This window comes from Homo sapiens, chromosome 3 (assembly GCF_000001405.40).
Source record: "Homo sapiens chromosome 3, GRCh38.p14 Primary Assembly".
In the NCBI taxonomy this organism is placed as follows: domain Eukaryota; kingdom Metazoa; phylum Chordata; class Mammalia; order Primates; family Hominidae; genus Homo; species Homo sapiens.
In genome coordinates, this window is record NC_000003.12 from 31,659,604 (window position 1) to 31,679,985 (window position 20,382).

The 20,382-nt window shown below is 45.5% G+C and overlaps 1 protein-coding gene across 17 annotated transcripts in view, besides 1 other annotated feature; it reads right to left on the reverse strand.

Annotated features, from left to right (window-relative positions):
• Window positions 1-1,221: 1,221 nt before the first annotated feature.
• Window positions 1,222-20,382, reverse strand: part of OSBPL10 (oxysterol binding protein like 10) — a 416,868-nt gene continuing 397,707 nt past the window's right edge. For 9 of the 17 annotated variants that reach the window (XM_047447389.1, XM_047447385.1, XM_005264844.6 and 6 more), the window contains 3 exons: window positions 11,194-11,380; window positions 9,039-9,221; window positions 2,520-4,629 (listed from right to left, as the gene is read on the reverse strand). In XM_047447389.1, coding sequence (XP_047303345.1) covers window positions 4,416-4,629; window positions 9,039-9,221; window positions 11,194-11,380 — 584 coding nt within the window. In that variant the 3' untranslated portion in view covers window positions 2,520-4,415. The other 8 variants (XM_047447390.1, XM_047447386.1, XM_047447391.1 and 5 more) reach the window with 1 other exon arrangement.
• Window positions 18,925-19,426: an enhancer, noted in NCBI's record as "NANOG hESC enhancer chr3:31720020-31720521 (GRCh37/hg19 assembly coordinates)". NCBI's record gives its function as "activates a minimal SCP1, AML or CMV promoter by ChIP-STARR-seq in primed H9 embryonic stem cells {active_cell/tissue: H9 hESC(primed)}" and the evidence as "EXISTENCE:reporter gene assay evidence [ECO:0000049][PMID:30033119]".

The window sequence follows — 20,382 nt, forward strand, 5'->3', positions numbered from 1 at the left end:
ATGCCAGGCTGGGCACAGTGGCTCACACCTGTAATCCCAGCACTTTGGGAGGCTCAGGTGGGTGAATCACCTGAGGTCAGGAGTTTGAGACCAGCCTGGCCAACATGGTGAAACCCCATCTCTACTAAAAATACAAAAATTAGCTGGGCATGGTGGCACACGCCTGTAATCCCAGCTACTCGGGAGGCTGAAGCAGGAGAATCGCTTGAACCCGGAAGGCAGAGGTTGCAGTGAGCAGAGATTGCGCGCCATTGCACTCCAGCCTGGGTGACAGAGTGAGACTCCATCTGGGAAAAAAAAAATAGTTAAAATGGTAGATTTTGTTACATATATTTTACCACAATAAAACATAATATGAACTCAGCAAGAAAATGAACAAATAGAGCAACAAGGATTGAACTAGAAAGAAAATATTGGCTCAAATAGGCAAACTAGGGTATGATTCAATTTTTACAAAAATGGGTAAAACCAATCACACTGTTTAGAAATACACACATAGTGTGTATAGTCTAAAAGAACAACAAAAAACCCATAAGGGGATGGTTATTCCAGGAAGGCATGGAGAGGGATACAATTGTATAGGGGCACAATAGTGGCTTTTAAGGTACTGGTAAACAGGTTTCTTTGCTTAAGCAGTGGCTACAAGGGTATTTATAATTATTCCTGGAGTACATATGTTTTATGTAAATCTCCTGACACATAACATTTCACAATTTTAAATGTACCCCTGGCCTCAAAAGAAAAGTGAGCCCTCTCCATGTTTTACTTCCCAGATGGTTTATGCTTTGTAGTCAGACTGGAAAATCCAACAACACAGTGATTACTTTTCAGTCTCATTGAGTTGAGTTTTCTTCTTTTTCTCAAAATAGCATTTGTTCCACTTTCTCTGTCAGAAATAAGATGGTTCCAGATACTTGATTCACCCAGATGCTTTAAAGACTGTGGACCTAAGTAGGCTTCTATTGTGACTTCTGGCAGTGACTCTTCTCGTGAAACAACACTCACTGGGTAGGAGTTAAATGTTCTTATGGACTTACCAGAAAATATTCATAAATGTTTATCTGGTACATTTTTAAATGTGTTAAATACTTTTTCCATATAGATATGATTGCTCTTCATATCAATAACTAGAAATATTTAACCAGGAAAAGTTGAGCTCACTTAGAGCCACCAATTTAATAGAACTGTTGAATCCCTGAAAATAAAACACAGACACAGATATGTATTCAATCGAAATATATTTGTCTAATATCTACAAAGTGTGAACAACTGGTCTTAAGAAAGCAGACAAAAGGCACAAAATTAGTATTACTACAGAGAAGCATTCATGCTATTTGGATTTGATAAATATTGGAGTGGCACAGTAAAAAATAAATTAAGCATTCAGCAAAAACCAGATATTTCATTTTTTCCTTGCTTTGTATTTTCGTCACTCCTTTGACCTCATGTGTAAAGGCTAAAAACTGAAATTTAACTGAAACCATGGAATATTTATGCAGGCGTTATGTATGTTTTAGTCACAGTGCTTTCTTGCAGAGTTTGGGTTAACCAGAGAGGTGCACTTGAGGAAAAAATAATCCACAGGAAATTCTCTTCTCTTTCCCCAAACTAAATACAAGATTGAGGCTGTGGTTGTGCATGTTTTCATGTGCATGCATGTATTTAACTTCTAAAGCCCTTTTTCATCACAAAAGAAGTCTCCATATGATTGACTGGTTTTCTGATGTAAAAGAAGCAACTTCTCAAAAATGAATGACTAGCGCTGTGACCATGAGAGACGGGTGGAAAACTCCTTGGTGGGCCTTGGCTCTTAGTTGTCCCAGAGGTGCTCCATCCTGCAAGGCTCTGGCATAAATCTTTAACAGCTTCCTGCCAACCCCCATCCAGCAGGAAATACTTGCTTATCTTTCTTGGGCGCGGACAGACAAAACACTGAGGTGGGGAGGGAGGTGAGAATCACAATAATTTTGAAATGATAACCACCCATACTTCTACCAGGAATGAGCCACTTTCTCCCTTATGGACAGTGATCGGGCCATGCCAGTTCACCTTCATTTTGACAGGAGTTGACTAAGTGAGAATATCTTTGTGAGTGTAAAACATTTTTGGCAAAGTGAAAAATAGAAAAACTTCAAACTTCATTGATAAAAAGGAGCTTATGATTACCCACTTTAACCTTGGTGAGTGCAGTATTTAAATGTGTAATCATACTCAGATGTTTACATAGTGCATGTGTGTGAACGTATACGGTGTGTACACACACGTGCCCCGAATGGCTCTTGAATAAATTCATTCCTCTAGCAGAGTGTGGGGGTGCACTTTTCATAGTATATAATTTCTCTCTCTCTCATCATTTCTTGGATGCTAATACAAGGTCTCAGTGAATGCCAACAAAACCCTGATACTCTACTACTTTAATATTCCTACAAAAACAGGGCTATACTGGAAAGCTCTGCACCTCCACCCCATCAGTGTGCTTTCCAGAGGGGATTGAAGTATACCCAGCCATCGCCCTGCAAGAGAAGAAAGGAGGCATTATTACATGGAGACCTCTCAACAGGGAAAAGGGGAAGCAAGGATAACCGCAGCCACTCTGTGTGTCTGCCGTGTCTTAATACCTCACACGCAGGCCAGGCTGCTGGCCTCAGTACCCCTCCTCAGCCCAGCTGCTCTTTGGAGATCTAGATGACCTTGACCTTCCTACCCTGGCATGGCAGGAGGAAACCCCAAGAAATGAGCAAAATAAAAGGGGAGCTTGGTTGGCTTCCATCGAGACTGATTACTTGGCCAAAAAAAAGAAGCACTTTGACAGTGGGACAAGAGAAAAGGAGAGTAGCTAGATGAATGGCCAGGGGAAAGAAAAGGCAAGGGTGTGCATACCAGTGACTTCCAGCCCACAGGGGAACACCCAACAAAGGCTCTCTCCAGCAGGCAGTAGTCACAAACAAATCAGCACACACAAGAAACACCATCAATCAAATATCAAGTGAGAAAAAGGCAAGAATTAAAATGGTATTAATACCATCTAGTTATGACTAGAAGGCACTATACTGAATAACTGTGCTGGTGTTCAGATGACTCTTATTCCTTACATGTTCCCAGCCCTTCTGTTATGGGCATACTGGCTTTTCTTAAACTCAGGAAGAACTGTAAATGTTTTTTCTTGTTGTTGTTGCTGTTTAATGCACAGCCTTCCACAGAAGCCAGACAAACTAGCTCTCTCAAGCTACTAGCTCCCTCAAGAGAAAAGGGAGCTAACCTCACAGAAGGATCTTTCAAGGTTTTACCTCACCTGGGCAGGGCTCCCACACAGGGTCCCCACTCAGTGACCCATAAAGGCAAAGTCTTCTCCAGGCAGCTTTCCTGTCTGAACCAGAATCCAACCTTGAAATCTCCTTCAGTCCACAGCCTGACTCTGGGGAGAACAGTGGTGGCTTCCTGCTCTTCCTGCTCTTAACCATGAATCCACCCCAGTTACCTACTATGTTGCCCTAACTCACTTCTCAGCCTCGTATATAGACAGAATAATCCCTCTTTGTAGCAGAAGTCAGGGGTTACCAGCACCTGGGCTAAGGAAAGCCCACAGATACATTTTGATTGCCTACTGGTATTTAAATTTTTTTAAATCTTTGACCATGCAAATATGAGATTTCTCATAAAAATTTAGATTTCTGGCTCCTCATGAACAACTAGACAATCTGTTTTATCACTGGAAGATGAGTGGCATCTGCCCCAGCCCTCACCGGCCTGCTCTTCATTGATGTTGCTGGGTTCCTGTGGGCCTGCTTTAAGACGTGTGGCTCCTACATTTTCATAATTTCCAATTCTGTTCTCAGAGTGCTTCCCAATCCCTCCACAACTTCAAGAGCATAAGGGCTTCAGCTGGGCACACAGTGCCCTGCCCACTTGCCCAGATATTATTTCTAGCTTCTAGTGTCACATTTGCAGGTGACAGCAACAGCATTTTAGGCACAGGACTCAGGCTGGCCTTCCCCTGCATGACTAGCCCTTGTGGCCCACAGGAGGCAAAGCTCTGAAAGGCAATTCTTCATCAGTGAGGGCTCCAGCCCACCCAGGTGTTGAGATGGCCTGTGAGGCACTCCTCAACTAATTTGTTACTAAAGATGATCTAACAGGTGCCATGATGATTTTCTTTTTAAAAATAGAACAGTATCCAGTCTGCAGTCCCATCGCGATCCCTCACAGGCAGGCTGACATGCTTTTCTGACATAGGGATACTGGAGGGGAAGTGTCAGTTGCTCAGTTCTGCCCTCCAGAAGGTTTCATGAATATTGTGGCAGAAAACCTGTCCTGAAGCCTTGTCCAAAGCTGGAGTCAGAACCGAGCTGCCCTAGTCCATCCCTTCCCCTGCCTGGTATTTATCCAGTCTTGGGGGCTCAGCAAGAAAAACCCATCTACCCTCTCAGGACAAGTTCTCTCCTGGGCAAGGGACCAATGACAGGCGGCAGAGTTACCTCCTGGATAAAATATTTGGGCTTCCATGGTGTGCGGAGGTTCTCGCGCTTCCGTTCCTCCACCCGTTGCTTCTCCTCCAGGTGCCGCTTCTGCTCGGTGGCTGCGTCAATGTCCCCCAGCCGCAGGTATCGGGTCACCTCCCGCCAGAGGTTCCTGGGGATGCGTGGAGGAGAGGAAACAATCAGCCAGGCCAGCTGGCTGCAAGCTAACGGAACTCTGCCAGGAGCAGCCAGAGCAGCGAGGGGCCGCCAGGCAAGCCCCCTCTGGGGTAGCTCATCCCAGATACCTCAAAGACCCCGAGAGCCTAGATTTGAACCCAGGGCTACCCAGCTCCACCTCTGTGTTGTTTCTACTCTCCGCTTGTACCAGGCAGCATGCCTTTCTCAGGGCCCGGAGATTCTGGGAATCAAATCTAATAGTAGTAGTTGGCATTCTGCTACTACTACAAACAACGGTAGCAGGCACATATGGCATTTGCCATATTTCTAAGCATTTTACATACATAAACCTCTTTAATCCTCACAGCAACCCAATGATATATTATAGACGGTAGATTCTTATCTCCATTTTACAGAGGAGAAAATTTAAGGTCCACATAAGGTTAGGTGACTTGCCCAAGGACACCACACTGGTAAATCAGAACAAGACCTGCTTTCCCACAAGGGAACCTGGAATTAGGGGTTAGAGGCTGATGCATGTGTGATGTGTGGGTATTTGTGTGTGCATGCTTATAGTGCGGGATCTCTCATCTCCCCCCATGTCTACACAAAGCCATTTCTCTGCTTCATGAATTCATTGTAGAACGCAGCCTAAAGGTAGTGAGGCCAGGCTGTTCAGCTCACTACCCCTCTTCAGCCCAGCTGCTCTTTGGACACTCAGATGACCTTGACCTTCCTACCCTGGCATGGCAGGAGGAAACCCCATGAAATGAGCAAAATAAAAGGGGAGCTTGGTTGGTTTACGTCAATCAAGGCTGACTACTTGGAAAAAAAAAGCACTTTGACAGTGGGACAAGAGAAAAGGAAAGAAGCTAGTGTTTAACACTAGTTTGTATTTGGCTTATGTTTAACACACAGCTTTCCTCCTCAGGATGTCCTTGGGACCAGCCTGTATTCAGACACACTCTGTTCTAGAGAGAAAGGAAAGGACCCATGATAAATCAGGACACCACCACCCAAGCACTTCCTCACTTAAATGCATCAGAAGGTCGGATTTCACAGACAAGGAACTGTCCGAATGCCAGGTGGTGGAGATTCCCTCCCTGGCTTCTAGAAAATGAGGCCCCTTCACCCAGGGGCAAGTGAATGCCCATCTTTAGGTCCTGGGCCGGGGAGCATATCTACAGCGGGTGTCCTTAACCCTTTCCCCAGCAAGGGCTCAGAGCAGCAGGAAGGCTTGAGTGCTGGCATGGTCAGGCAGAGGACAGACAGATGGGGCTGCCAGTGAACTAGGGACAGCCAGCAGCACCTCCTGGGGGTACAGATGCCAACAGAAGAAACCCCAGCTGCACACACACAAGAAAACTGCTGGCACTGAGAGATAAGCCAGATCTGATTGGTCTCTCAGTCCCTCCTCTTTCCACTGTACCCTCATAACTGATTTAAGAGGAAAGACTCGCCCAAACAGTAAGGCTGGGTGAGGGAAGAAAATGAGGGGTGGGTGTTGGGTAAAATCACAGTAATTCTCATCACACAGCCTCAACACACACCTTACGCTGAGGGTGGGGCTGGGCACCAGGACAGCTGGGGTCAGGGGGTCCTCTGAAGGGCAGAACCTCCCATGGTAAGTCCCATCTTAAGACAGTGGCCCCAAGAGTAGAGGGCAGAGCGCCCAAAACCAGAGACAGGGTGATGGGACCAGAACCACAGACAAAGATCTCTGCCCAACATGAATAGGGACCCAACCAGGAGAGTCACTTGAGAGCAGGGAGGAGAATGGAGTGGAGGAGGCTCTGAACACCATGCTAAAAGAAAAAGGAGTCTCCAGGGTGGGGAGAGATGGCAGCAATTCAGTAAGAAAAGCCAAAGGAAGCTGAGGTAAGCTTGCTCTGAGGAGGGGAGGGCACCATGGCAGAGGTCGAGCAAGTGGCTGAGGCAGGGCAGGACTGGCATCCCTGGGTGCTGGCTCTGCCTTAAGTCATTGGGCCCCTGAGGGCTCTGGCCAAGGCAGAGTTTCTGCTCAGACCAAGCTCTGGGCCTTGTGAGCAGACTTACAGGTATGGGAAGACCGAAGACCACAGAATTATCTTCATTCTACCACTAATGGGACTGGAGTTCCCTTCCAGGAATTCTAGTTGGGGACTGGAGGCCTCACCAAGGGCTGGCACCACTGTGAGAGCTAAGACAACTGTTCTAACTGCTGGTCCACCTAGCCATGCTGATGGTCCCTCCTTTGCCTCTGCAGGGAAGGCCTAGCACACCCGGCTGGGAGAGTGAACACAGGTGCTCTGAGCAGCCACGGAGACTGGAACCAGCCACTCCACTCCTCAAGGCCGTTTCCTCTGCAGAGAACAAGGATGGGTGGGCTCAGTATCCCTATACAGCAGTCCCCCTTTACCTATGGAGGATACATTTGGAGACCCCCCAGCAGATGCCCAAAGCCACAGATAGTACCAAACCTATATATACTATGTTTCTTCCTATACATTACATACCTACGATGTCATTTAATTTATAATTAGGCATAGTAAGAGATTAATAAAATAGAACAATTATAACAATATACCATAATAAAAGTTATGTGAATGTATTCTCTCTCTGAAAATACTGTAATATTTTCAGGTGGTGGCTGACTGCAGGTAACAGAAACTAAAGAAAGCAAAATCACAGATAAAGGGGGCTACTGTAGCTTGTTCCCTATTTCAGTAAAATCCACATAAACAGACAAAAAGAGGTAGCACCTTCTCTCTTACTCTGGCACCAGACTCCATCCCTGCTCTAAGCTGAATTCTGCATTCCCATAGGCTAACAAGCAACAAAGAGTCTTAATAAGGAGTAGCTAAACTACTCTGATATCCTTGGAAGAAAAGTAGCAGGTGATCACAGTTTTGTTCTCAATAGCTGGATCAGAAACAACAGTCATGTCATGATATGAACCACAGGTTTCCCCATTCTGGGAATGCTTCATCAGAGGCAGTGTGGGCAAGGGGATGGGTTTCCTTCCTTATCGCAGCCTTTCCCTTGTCCTGCTACTGCTGCCCAACAGGATGGACTGAAAAAGACAACTGGTAAGAGTCCAAGCTCTCCAGTTAGACACAGAGAAAGGTTATGCTCACTGTCCTCAAATAAACTGATTAACAAGCAAGAGTGTACTAATTCTACAGCAAAGCAAAGGTTCCAGGGATACTGAAGCTCTGTTTCCATTAAACCCAGTTATTAATATAATGTATTATTTATACATACTGTGGTATCCCTGCTTTGTTTCCACTTACAAGAACTGTTTCTATTTGGTTACAAACTCTTGTAGTAATAGTAAAGCTTTCATAAAATCATTTGTAATTTCATTTTAACCCTGCATCGTATTTCTAAAGAGTGTATGCTCTTAGATTAGAGCAGCAGTTGGCAAAAATTTTCTGTAAAGGGCCAGAAAGTAAACATTTTAGGCTTTGCAGGCCATATGGTCTTGGTTGCAACTACCTAACTCAGCCATTGTAGCAGGAAGGCAGCCATAAGCCATATGTAAATGAATGATCATGGCTGTGTTCCAATAAAACTTTATTTACAAAATCAGCCTCAGGTTGGATTTGGCCCACAGGCCATAGTTTGCTGATGTCCTACATTAAAAAATAAAACTGGCATATTCCAAGGAGATTCTGCTTCTGTGCCTGCATAAACATCACATTAAGTGGCTGCATTATATTCATACCATAGTCACAGCATAGATATACAAACTGAATGGATACTTCGTAATTTACTTAACCATTTTCCAAATATTAGACAGGTGATTTCTTTCTTTTGTTGCTTAGTTTTCTTTAAAAAAAGAATAAACCATTTTATGTTGTTTAAATTTTTTCTGAATTTAAGAGTTTGCCCTGAGAACAGATTCTTAGAAGTAGAATGCAAGATTAAAATGGATTCATGAATTGAAAGCTACTGATCCATGCAGCTAAACTGCACACACTCCTACTAGAAGGACAGGGTATAGAGTGTCAATTTTACTACACCTTTCCCAGCATTTAATTTTTTTAATAATATTGCTAATCTGGCAAGAAAAAAATAGTATCTTATTGACTCACTGTGCAGTTCTTTGATTACTATCAACTCTCGGTATTTACCTTTGCAATTAAGCAACAGATCAGATGAGTTGACAAACTTTTGTAAGACAAGCAGTGAAGTCTGTCCTCACACCCCACCCCATGACTACAGAATGACGTAACTGAAAGCTGAAAGGTTCTGCTCCTAAGTGACACACAGTAGAAAATTAAAATATCTAAAGAAGCCAGTAGAACATGATTCCTGGCCTGTTTCCAGTCGCTAAGTTTCAAAGTCTTCTTTCTTCTCTGTCCCTTGAGTCAGGTGCCCAGCATGACTAAGCTGGAGAGGAAGACACAGCCCGGTTCTCACCTGGACTCCATGGGTCCCTGCTTCTCAAGAGGTCTGATCTTCTTGGGATACACTGGCAGTGTGGTTGTGTCGATGACTTTGGTTTCTCCATTGTTGTAGGTGAACTCTAAAGTACCATTCCATTCCCCATGGGCTTTACAAACAATGGTGTTGGTTGGGTTGTGCTTCACTTCTGCGGTAACCCTGAATTAATGAGTCAAATGAGTACACACTTTTCAAAATGATAAAAACAGAGACTTCAAAGGTACACCCATCTCTAGAGATTTTTTTTTTTAATCAGAAATGGGAAGGAGGGATTGTTTTTGCAGCTTTGCTCAAAGACTAGCTCTTAAAAGATGATCTAATATCCTTGAACAGCAAAAGAAAGCATCACTGGAAATAATAGTGAAATCTGAATAAAGTCTATAGATTAGTTCATAGTAATACAGCAATGTTAATTTCTCAATTGTGATAAACAGATATCACTGGGATGAAAATCAGGCAATTCAAGAAAAAATAAGTGGGAAGGGGACGAGAATTAAAACACTACAAATATGGGGCAGTACCTATAGCTCGGGTGATGGGTGCACCAAAATCTCACAAATCACGACTAAAGAACTTACTCATGTAAGCAAATACCACCTGTACCCCAATAACTTATGCAAAAAATTAATTAAAAAAAAAGGAAAACAAAATAGCATATACTCTGTCTTCTCCAAAATAGTATCTAATAATGCTACATTTTAACCCTAAAAAGTGTGTAAGAGTGTAGGGTGAGCTTTTCAATCCTTAAATCAGGTCTATTTTGTATGGGGTCAAACATGGTTGCCCACAATCCCAACAGAGCTTATGTTGGAAAAGGAGGGAAACATCCACTCCAGCATCCACACATCCCCTGAATGAAGGCTGAGCAAAACCTAGAGTCTCAGTCTCAATCAATAGCTTCCTACTCACAGTAGTGGCTCTGAGGAATGACTTCAACCTCTCATTTAAAGGGCCTTTGTGGAGATTTGCGACCTCTCTTTCACCTGCCTCACCTGTGGGAATTCCAAGTGAAAGCAGACTCCCAGCTCCCTCTCCACCACTGAGCTTTCTGCACAGTTGAAGGAACACCACAGGAACGGGGATGCCTGCCCCAAAGCAGCCATGTGTAGGATCTAAACTCCCCTTTTCCTTAAGGCCCAGCTCAGGCTGAATTTAGAGTTTTCAAACAGACTGGGAGGCTTTCTCCTTGAGCCTAAAAACAGTCACAGTTCTTAGGTAGCAATGCAGAGGCTCACAGGCAGGTATGAGGCATCTTCTGGATTGCACACAGTGGAAAGATATTAGTGGCATTCTGGTAAATATTTAACAACTGGATCTCTAAAAGGGAAGACACCTGATCTGTACCATTTGCCAATTTCTGTGGTGCCCATCATGGCTGATTTCAACTACCAACATGATAGCACTGAACGTGAAGTACACACAAATCAGTTCTTACGAGCTGGTGTGTGCTGGCTCCAGGTGTCCCCAAGGGTGTCCACGTGCCCCTGTGACACTCTGATACACTCACACTAATGCCATGCAGAATAATGCTTTCCAAGAAAAAGGGCAAAGATGGAAGTTTGTTTGTACAGTATATCTTGCTTACACAGTAGAGCTGTGCTAAAAGAGGAATATTTTTTATAGCTGCAGCAATAAAAACAATTTTGTGCTTCCTCAAAGAGCAGACCTCTCCTTCAATTACTTAGGCTTGGGCTTCCCCAGTTTTTCAAAAGAAGGAAATGATCTTGACCTCATGGATGCATGACACAGAATTGAGGATAGTGTAGCCAGCTAATGTGAAATGGGGAACTGTCTGGCTATGTCTGGGTTCATAGATTCAATCACTTTAGAGCAAAGCAACAAACTGTGGCTTCAGAAGGGAGAGTTTATTCCAACAAACAGAAGTGCTTTTATTTTCTGGCGTGTGCTCTGCAAATGCATCACCGAAGATTTAACCTTAAGTTTAGGGTGGGGAGGACTCCAAAAAACTGCCATGTAAGGTAGGGAAAAGGCATCTCTTTTGGAAAAGACCTTAACAAGTTTATCTTGATTTTCAACTCATCCCATTACTGAAACTCAGTCTTCTAATGGTGAAAGGAAACTCAGGGCATCTTGTTAAGACAAAGCCAGAGTCTCTCCGGCCAGCTCCTACCTGTGGACTTTCCCTCCATAGAAAGGCTTCGTGTGGAATATCACTGTCGCTGAGTACCCAGTCTTGGCACAGTTGATGCTGACTTTTCCTCCGAGCTCCACCCACGGGATGGTGAGAATGGACCGGGCGTAGGCACTAGGCAGGGTGAATACGTACTCCTCCCCGTGTTCCAGGAGCCTCAACACACCTCCAGGGAGAGAGGAGGGAGAGTTAGGCATGCAAACATGTGAAGAGGGCACTGGGGATCAGAAGAAATGAAGATGGGAAACCAAAGAGCCTCCTGCACAGATGTCACATCTCCCACCTCTGCAGAGGTGAGCTGCTCGTTCACTGTGGGCTCTACTGTGTGCAAGGCACTGAGAATACAGCAGTGAACAAGACAGACCCACTTTCTGCCCTCAGAAAGCAGAAGAGAAAGGTGGTCATTAGTCACCAAATGAACACAAAATTGTAACAGTGATAAAGGTAGGAGGGCAAGGTGGCCAGCACAATGGAGGCCTCCAACAGGAGAGACTGACCTGGTAAGGGAAGGTTTCCTTAAGAAAATGAACAGGGGAAGGAAGAGTGTTCTGGGCAGGGGGAAGAGCATGTGCAAAGGCCCTGGGGTAGGAAGGAGCCTGGTAAGTGTGAAGAGGCTGGGAAGAGGGCCCACATGCAGAAGAGAGATGATATATATAGGTGTGGAGGATGACCAAGTCAGCAGGGGTCAGACCTTGTCTTTTAAACTTCTAGGAAGAGTTCTGCCTTTATCCTGAGAGCTACAGAGACAAGCTCAATGGTTCTCATGAAAATAGAGAAATCAGGCTGTACAGCTGCTGTCAGCAACCTTAGGAAAGACATCTGCCAAGAGTGGGACTCTGTAACACTTACTGCCCACGCACTTCCAGAGAAAGGGTTCTCCAACCTACAACCCAAAGTGGGAAAGGCCTTATTCCTCTCAAAGCAATGCAGAATTTTGTTCATTTTTCTAGGGAACAGGGCCACAGTTTTCATCAAGTCCTCAAGACTACCCCCAAAATACAGAAGCTCCCAGGACTGCCGTAGAGTTGTATACAGAGGCCCTATACAGACTGGCAGAGGCCCTGAGACCCAGCACTACAGCTCTCTTAAGATCACATCTTCACAAGGCACCTCTCAGTCTCCCATCCAATACTTTGGCACTTGGCTCCCTAGAGATGCATATTCTTGGCTCCACTCCAGCTCACCCCAGGCCTCACTCTAGGGTTGCTCTGAGCTCGTCAAGAATGCTCTGAGCCTTAGGAGGGTAGAGGACCAGAGGTGGTTAGCGACCGGCACCTTCCTGGGCTTCCAGTCCTCCAGTGGAAAGAGTGAAGAGTGGGGTCAATGGCTCCCACATGAGAGCACTTTCCAGCTGCCAGACATTCCTGGGAGCTCCACATGAACTATCTTCTTCAGCTCACAACAGCCCTATTTGGCAATGATTATCGTTTTAATAAGAATGAGGAAACAAACTTTTAAGAGAGGTTAAGTAATTCAGCTGTTTAATACTTCCCTCTTAGGCTACATAAGCATCTAAATCACTTAGAGCTAGAATTTGCGGGGGCGGGGGGGGGGGCAGGAGGGAGGGAGAGGGAGAGGGAGAGAGAGAGAACACACCAGGAGGATAGGGAGAGAGAGAAGGAAGGGGGGTGGGAGTGCGGAGGGAGGGGAAGTTTCTTTTAGTATAGATGAGCTTGCCAGGGGAGTCTGAGGAGAGATAGGGTTAATTTGTACAAAGGAGTCATGGTTGCTCTTAGTTTCTAAAGTCAATACTAAGATGTGTTCAACTATAGTTCAATTTACCGTGGAGAATTCCTCTAATTGCCCATGCACTATGGTATTTAGGACACACTAGGCTTGTCCGAACCAGCAACATCACTCTCAGTTCTCAGTTAAGTCCATTAAAGTCAGTTTTCCCAACCCATGAAATACTTGGCTGGTTCTGAAAACCCAAGCTGACATGCTAGTATGTGATTAGGGGCCTCAATCCCTCCCAGTGTGGAGGGATCCTCAGACACATGGACAGATGAAGGCACTGAGACACCCAGGAGAAGCAGATCATGTGGGCTGGACTGGAGGGCAGGTATCACAGCTGCATTTACATCCTATCTTTCTCTGGCTGGGAACATAATTGAGTACATTTAATGCAAATCCACAAACAGCATAAGTCCACTACACCAAATACACTGCGTATCAGAAGAGATGGGCCTTCTCCCCTCTTCTCCACTCCAACTTGCTGGAGCTCTCTTGACTAAACTCATCTTGCCAAAAGTAAAGCCCCAGGCCACCTCTTGCTCTCATTCTGTCATTCATTCTTCCTTCTGCATTTTAGAAAGAAGAGCATCCCAGATGACCCTGGAGGCCCTGTCCTATCCAAGCAGTAAAGGGAGGAATGTTGTGTTCTGAGGAGAATTAGACATTGGTGTTTCAATCCTGATAGTTTCTGATCAGGACCCTTGGAGAAGAATGGCCAAGTCTGACAGTGTTTTTTGTTCAAAGCCTACCTTTATATCTTACTTCTTTGAATTGGGTTGAGAAGACAGCCTAAAGCAGGTAGAAAATTGCAGCCAATGTCAAACACAGATCAATACTTGGTTCTTCTTGATCAACAGCCAGGGAAAGTGGAAGAGAGAGAGGTCACCTCAAATATCCCTCTCTACTCAAGTTTTATCTCCCAAGACCCCGGTTCCTTGGGTGCCAGCTGTATCCCCACAGACTTGGAGACTGTGGCAGCTGAGAGAGGCCCCTGGACCCTGTAGAGAAGGCTAGCATTTACCATGCCTTCAAGGCCCCAGAGGAGATAGTCCACTGCCACCCTCCCCACAGCACTAATGGGCTACAGATAGCCCCCAACTTACTGTGGTTCAACTTACAATGTTTTGACCTTACAATGGTGCCAAAGCAGTAAGTGTTCAATAGAAACCGTGCTTTGAATTTTGGTCTTTTCTGAATCTAGTGATATATGGGATGACACTCTCGTGTAATGCCAGGCAGCGAGGCTCTTTTTCTTTTTTGGAGACAGGGTCCCACTCAGTCACTCAGGCTGAAGTGCAGTGGCGCGATCATGGCTCACTGCAGCCTTGACCTCCTGGACTCAAGCAATCCTCCTGAGTAGCTGGGACTACAAGCATGCACCACCATACCCAACTAATTGAAAAAAAAATTATTTATAGAGACAAGGTCTCCCTGTGTTGCCCAAGCTGGTCTTAAAACTCTTGGGCTCAAGTGATCCTCCTGCCTCTGCCTCCCAAAGTGACTAAACAAACTCCTGTATAGGTTGGATATTTGACCCCCTCCAAAACTCATGTTGAAATTTGATCTCCAATGTTGGAGGTGGGGCCTAGTGAGAGGTGTTTATGTCATGGGGAGGGATCTCTCATTAATGACTTATGGCCATCCTAACAGTAATGAGTGAGTGCTCGCATTAGTAGTTCTTGCAAGAGCTCCCCTGAGAGCTAGTTGTCAAAAAGAGGCTAGGCCTGTGCAGTGGCTCACTCCTGTAATCCCAGCACTTTGGGAGGTGGAAGTGGGAGGATGGCTTGAGCCCAGGAGTTTGAGACCAGCCTGGGCAACATGACGAAGCCTCATTTCTATAAAAAAATTTTAAAAAAAAATTAGCTGTGCATGGTGGTGAGCACCTGTAGTCCCAGCTACTTGGGAGGTTAAGATAGGAGGATCACTTGAGCCCGGGAGGTCGAGGCTGCAGTGAGCCATGGTCACGTCACTGCACTCCAGCCTGGACAACAGAGTGAGACCCTGTCTCAAATAGATAGACAGATAGATAGATTAGATAGATAGATAGATAGATAGATAGATAGATAGATAGATAGATGGAAAAGAGTCCGACACCTCCCCCACCTTGCTTCTGCTCTTGCCATGTGACCCCCACACAGGGGTTCCCCTTCCTCTTCCACCACGAGTGGATGTAGCCTGAGGCCCTCGTCAGAAGCAGATGCTAGTGCCATGCTTTTTGTACAGCCTGCTGAACTGTGAGTCAAATAAACCTCTTTCCTCTCAGGTATTCCTTTATAGCAACACAAATGGACTAGGACACAACCCATCCTCTCGAGTGTACTGTGCTACCGGATGACTCTGCCCAACGGCAGGCTCATGTAAGGGTTCTGAGCATGTTTCAGATAGGCTGGGCTAAGCGAGGATGTTGCTAGGCTAGGTATATTAAATGTAGTTTCGTCTTAGGATATTTTCACCTTCAGATGGTCTTATTGGGACATAACCCCATCATAAGCCAAGGAGCATCTCTACTTGGTAGTAAAATCCTTCCAGGCGAGCAATATGTCTCCCTGGCACCATAACCTTGCCCCTGATGTCTACTGCATTCCTATTTTGTGGTTCACCCTTCATGTCCTTAATCGGGATACCTTGGGAATTGGGAACTCCCACCTCTTGCATGTCTAGCAGGAAACCTCTACAGACTGGAAACACACAACAGCCACAAACTTGGCTGGCTGGTATTCCTAGTCTCATTCATAAATATAAACTTTGTAGTAAGGTAGGATTATACAGCTGAGATTTTCTTCACCATGTTTTTTCATGGAGAATATGCCACGACTTTTTTTAAGACCTGGATGAAATCTTAGAGGATCATTCCAAGTCCTCCGTCACTCACCAGCCTGGCAATCTTAACTTCTCTGTGCCTCAGTTTCCTCATCTGTGATGCAGAGATAATGGTATCTGTATCTCCCATGGCTGTCGTAAAGATGGAGAAGGCGATTCTAAACTCAGCTAACAGCACTGCAGCATGGCACACTGCCAAAATCCTGAAGGTTTTATGTCTTAATTACTCCTCATTCTTTAAAGCAGCCCTCTCGATGGGTATCACCAACTGGCAATAAAGAGGAAACTGCAGGGCCAGGCGCAGTGGCTCACGCCTGTAATCCCAGCACTTTGGGAGGCTGAGGCGGGTGGATCACGAGGTCAGGAGATCAAGACCATCCTGGCTAACATGGTAAAACCCCCATCTCTACTAAAAATACCAAAAATTAGCCGGGCATGGTGGCGGGCACCTGTAGTCCCAGCTACTCGGGAGGCTGAGGCAGGAGAATGGCGTGAACCTGGGAGGCGGAGCTTGCAGTGAGCCGAGATTGCGCCACTGCACTGCAGCCTGGGCGACAGAGCGAGACTCCATCTCAAAAAAAAAAAAAAAAAAAAGAGGAAACTACAACGTCTTCCAATAGGCTATACCTGTGAGGGATGGAAGAGACACAGGGCAGACTTTCTCTAATGTAATACTGCATAAGAGATAGCATCCTCCTCCCATTTTTCTTCAGAAAAATCTCTTCCAAATCAAGGTAAAATTTCCCCCAAGTCCTGGGGGAGGTCAGTGAGCCTCAGAGCTAAACTGATTTGAAGGCACTGGCAAGACCACATGCCTTTGGCTTGTTTCTGAAAATCCATAAATGTGTGTTCATTCATCAAATCACCTGCAATTATGCCTTCTTAGTACATACTCTTTTTTTTCAGGGTTGCATTTAAAAAAAAATCTCCTTAATATGAATAAAAGACATATTAAAATTAGACTTACAAATGGGATCACAAATATAAGTTACTTCTTCATTTGGCCTAACAGCTAAGAGAAGCCAAAAAAAAAAAAAACATCAAATAATCAATCCTTCCATGCATCTTCCTCAGGCTGGGAGATCTTCATTTGAAATTCCACAAATTGATTCGCCAATAAAGGCAAAGCATTAAGATTTTCAAACTGATAAACTTAAAATAATTTTGTGTCCAATCTCAATCTGAGGAACCAAAATATTCAGCTGGGACATTCATCCTGGAAAGTAGAGTCACAGAAGGAACTCTGGGAAGTGTGTTTGCAGACCCGGCAGCATTGGCACTCACAAGCCCAGTGGCAATCATGTTGCTTCCTCTCATTAGAACTAACTGTTTTTCCCCACAGACTCAATTAAGAGCCTGCACCATTTACCAGGCATTGATTCAGGCATTTTGAGGGAAGTGGGCTGCAAAGAGCAGCTGAACGCCCCTCAGCTCCACAGCGGTGCGAGGTTGGGAGGGGTGAGCAGCCCACACTTTCCCGTGGACAGAGGTCTTAGGTTGACTGAACAGTGTCGGCTCTCACTGTTAGAGCAATAGAAACGAGAGGGTGGGAGAAAGGGGTGCAGTCTCTGGGGTCAACGTGAGTGAATTCAGGGCATAATGAAGCACTTCATAATAGCATTTCATTACAGTCAAATATGCCACAGCCTAAAGGCCATGATTTAGGAGATGAGCCCACGTATTTACGTTCACAATTCCAAGTGGACCCATGTAAGACCTCATTTTTATAATGAGGAGATGGAAAAAGCATTATTTACACCCAATCAACAAATTCATAGAATATGCAGGAAATATGCGAGGGAAGGGAAATTATCCAACCTCCTGCCTTCCCCCAATCAAAGGAGCTCTGAGTGTGGGAGCCAGAACCTTCTGCTTCGAAGTTTGGAGATTCTTAGAAATAGTTTGTGTGAAAAATCAGATCCTGCATTACAGCGGACACATTTTAATTAATACAAAAGATAAGGGGACGCAGCTACTGAAGGGACTTAGGCAAACTCAAGGCCTCACAAGAACGAGCCAAGGGTCCCCTGGCCATGCCCAGGCCCACCCACAGCAGGAAAACATCAGGTGAGTGGCCAGGAAGGGCCATGTCCAGGAGAGGCCTTTCACAGTCTCTCTCCAGAATCTTCTTTCTGAACTCAGCATGCTATTGAGAAATTCTGAGTGGCATTTTCAAGCAGTTAGAAAAAGTGAGAGCAACAAATTCTAATTCTGCTTCATCTGCAGGCTGCATCTGAGGGCCTCAGGAGAGGGTGTTCCACGGCTTCTCACCCACGACACTGTGGTCCTGGGCTGGGTAAAGTGAATCAAGGGCTCCAGCCTCTGCCTGCTGCCTATGAGAAACAGAGGAGCTATGATCCTGAGACCTCACAGGCCTACCCTGTGGAGACACGGACACTCAACAACGGCCAACATAAGACAGAGCAAAGGCCGGGCGCGGTGGCTCACGCCTGTAATCCCAGCACTTTGGGAGGCCGAGGCGGGTGGATCATGAGGTCAGGAGATCGAGACCATCCTGGCTAACAAGGTGAAACCCCGTCTCTACTAAAAATACAAAAAATTAGCCGGGCGCGGTGGCGGGCGCCTGTAGTCCCAGCTACTCGGGAGGCTGAGGCAGGAGAATGGCGTGAACCCAGGAAGCGGAGCTTGCAGTGAGCCGAGATTGCGCCACTGCAGTCCGCAGTCCGGCCTGGGCGACAGAGCGAGACTCCGTCTCAAAAAAAAAAAAAAAAAAAAAGACAGAGCAAAGATGTTGGTTAGTTCAGGGGACAGAGGGCTAAAAGGACCTCATCACTCTCTCAAGTTCAGCTGCAGAGGCAATGACAGGAGGCCATGTGCTGTGCTGGGCTGAGGGGTGCCCCGTTGACGGTGTGGCTTAAGTGAAACGGCTAGAGACACCAGAGGGAGACAGGAAGGACAAGGGTGCAGGGAAGCAGAGGGAAGAAGATGATGATGAACATGCTGTGTAGAGGGAAGAAGGGAAAGATGAACACATTGTGTGGGGAAGAGAGAATAACCAGCTTTAAAACACAATCACACACGTGACACCACTGCACAGCCACCTCCTTGTCGGAGCCCACCGCTGGTGGTCGGGGACAGGGGAAAAGTGACTGCTATTTGGTAGAGAAGGAAGGATCCTGAAGGGAGAGATTGCGTTTCTGTGAAGAATTCCCTAAATCACCAAAAATGGATTGCAAATCTACCTTTTCGAACATTTCCACATATTTGTCTAATGGCAAGAATTAGGGGCTCACAGACTGGGAGGTATTGACCCTCTACTCCAATTTAAGAATCTGGCTTTCTCAGGCCTTGACAAGCGGCAACAAGCACTTCTGCTGAGTGCAGGGAAATCCCCAGACAAAAGGCATTCTATTCACCAAGCACTTACTCTGACTAATCACAGATTCAAACTGTGTGTGTGTGTGTGTGTGTGTGTGTGTGTGTGTGTGTGTGTGTGTGTAGGAGGGAAGAAGAGAAATAAGAAACAACTTGCCTCTCTGCTTCTATCTTTGCACTGGGCCCTCTCCACTTCTGCCTTCAGTCTATTCTTCACTCAGCCAACACAGGGATGCTAAAATCATGTCTACCCTCAGCGACTCCCATCTCAGAGCAAACGGCAAAGACGTTCCAGAGCCCCAAAATCAGATCCCAAAATGTGGCCTCTCCTCTCTGGCTTTATCTCCTCTCTTCCCAGCCACGCACTCACTGCTGCAGACACAGTGGCCCCTGGCTGTCCTCAAAACACCCCAGCCACTAGCTCCCAACTTGGGGCCTTACCACTTGCTGTTCTTTTTTGCATAGAAGACCCCTTCTTAAACCTGCTTCAGGCCTTTCCTCAGCTGCTCTATCTTGCTGAGGTCCACATTATTGAAAATTGCAACCTCCCTGCCCCAGCTTCACTCTCCTCCTTCCTACTTTGTCTCTTAGTGTCAGTCATCATCCATCACATTGAGGACTTCACGCACATGTCTTGTCTTCTCTCCGACCCTCCTGTTGGAGCATGAGCTCCCGGGGGCAGGGAATCTGTGTGCTGTGGCCTCTGCTGCATCTCTGGCATCAAGGATGGTGCCAATCACTTCACAAATAAATGGATGAATGGATAAGTGAATGGGTAAATGACAGATTTATTCGAGCCACCACTGTTACCGATAAGGAGGTAAACATGATTAAAATACTAACTGTAGAAAATGTGTAAGGAATTATCTCGCATATGGGGCATAAATACAAAGTGTGAACTGCCTTCTCTACCTTCTCTGGCAAACAAACATATTTCATCTTCAAAATATTTATTATGTGGGAAATTTAGAATAAGGAATAAAATTAAATAGAATGAGATGAGTCTCCTGAATACCAATTTTTGTTTTTAAGAAAAGGAAAAGATTTTTTACCAATATAAACCTCATAGCACGAGCCAAGCCCAAAGCAACCTATGAAAACACAGAGCCCCAGATAAGTCAAAATCAAGATTAATGTTGCTCCCATTTCTTATTACAAACTCAAGTATAAAAATCAATGTGAACATAAACCTCCCACAGGGGAGTCCTTGGCAATCTTCTCCCTGCTTTCAATAGGAAGAGTTACCCGAGTATTCTAACCGGAGCTCTTAGTTCACAC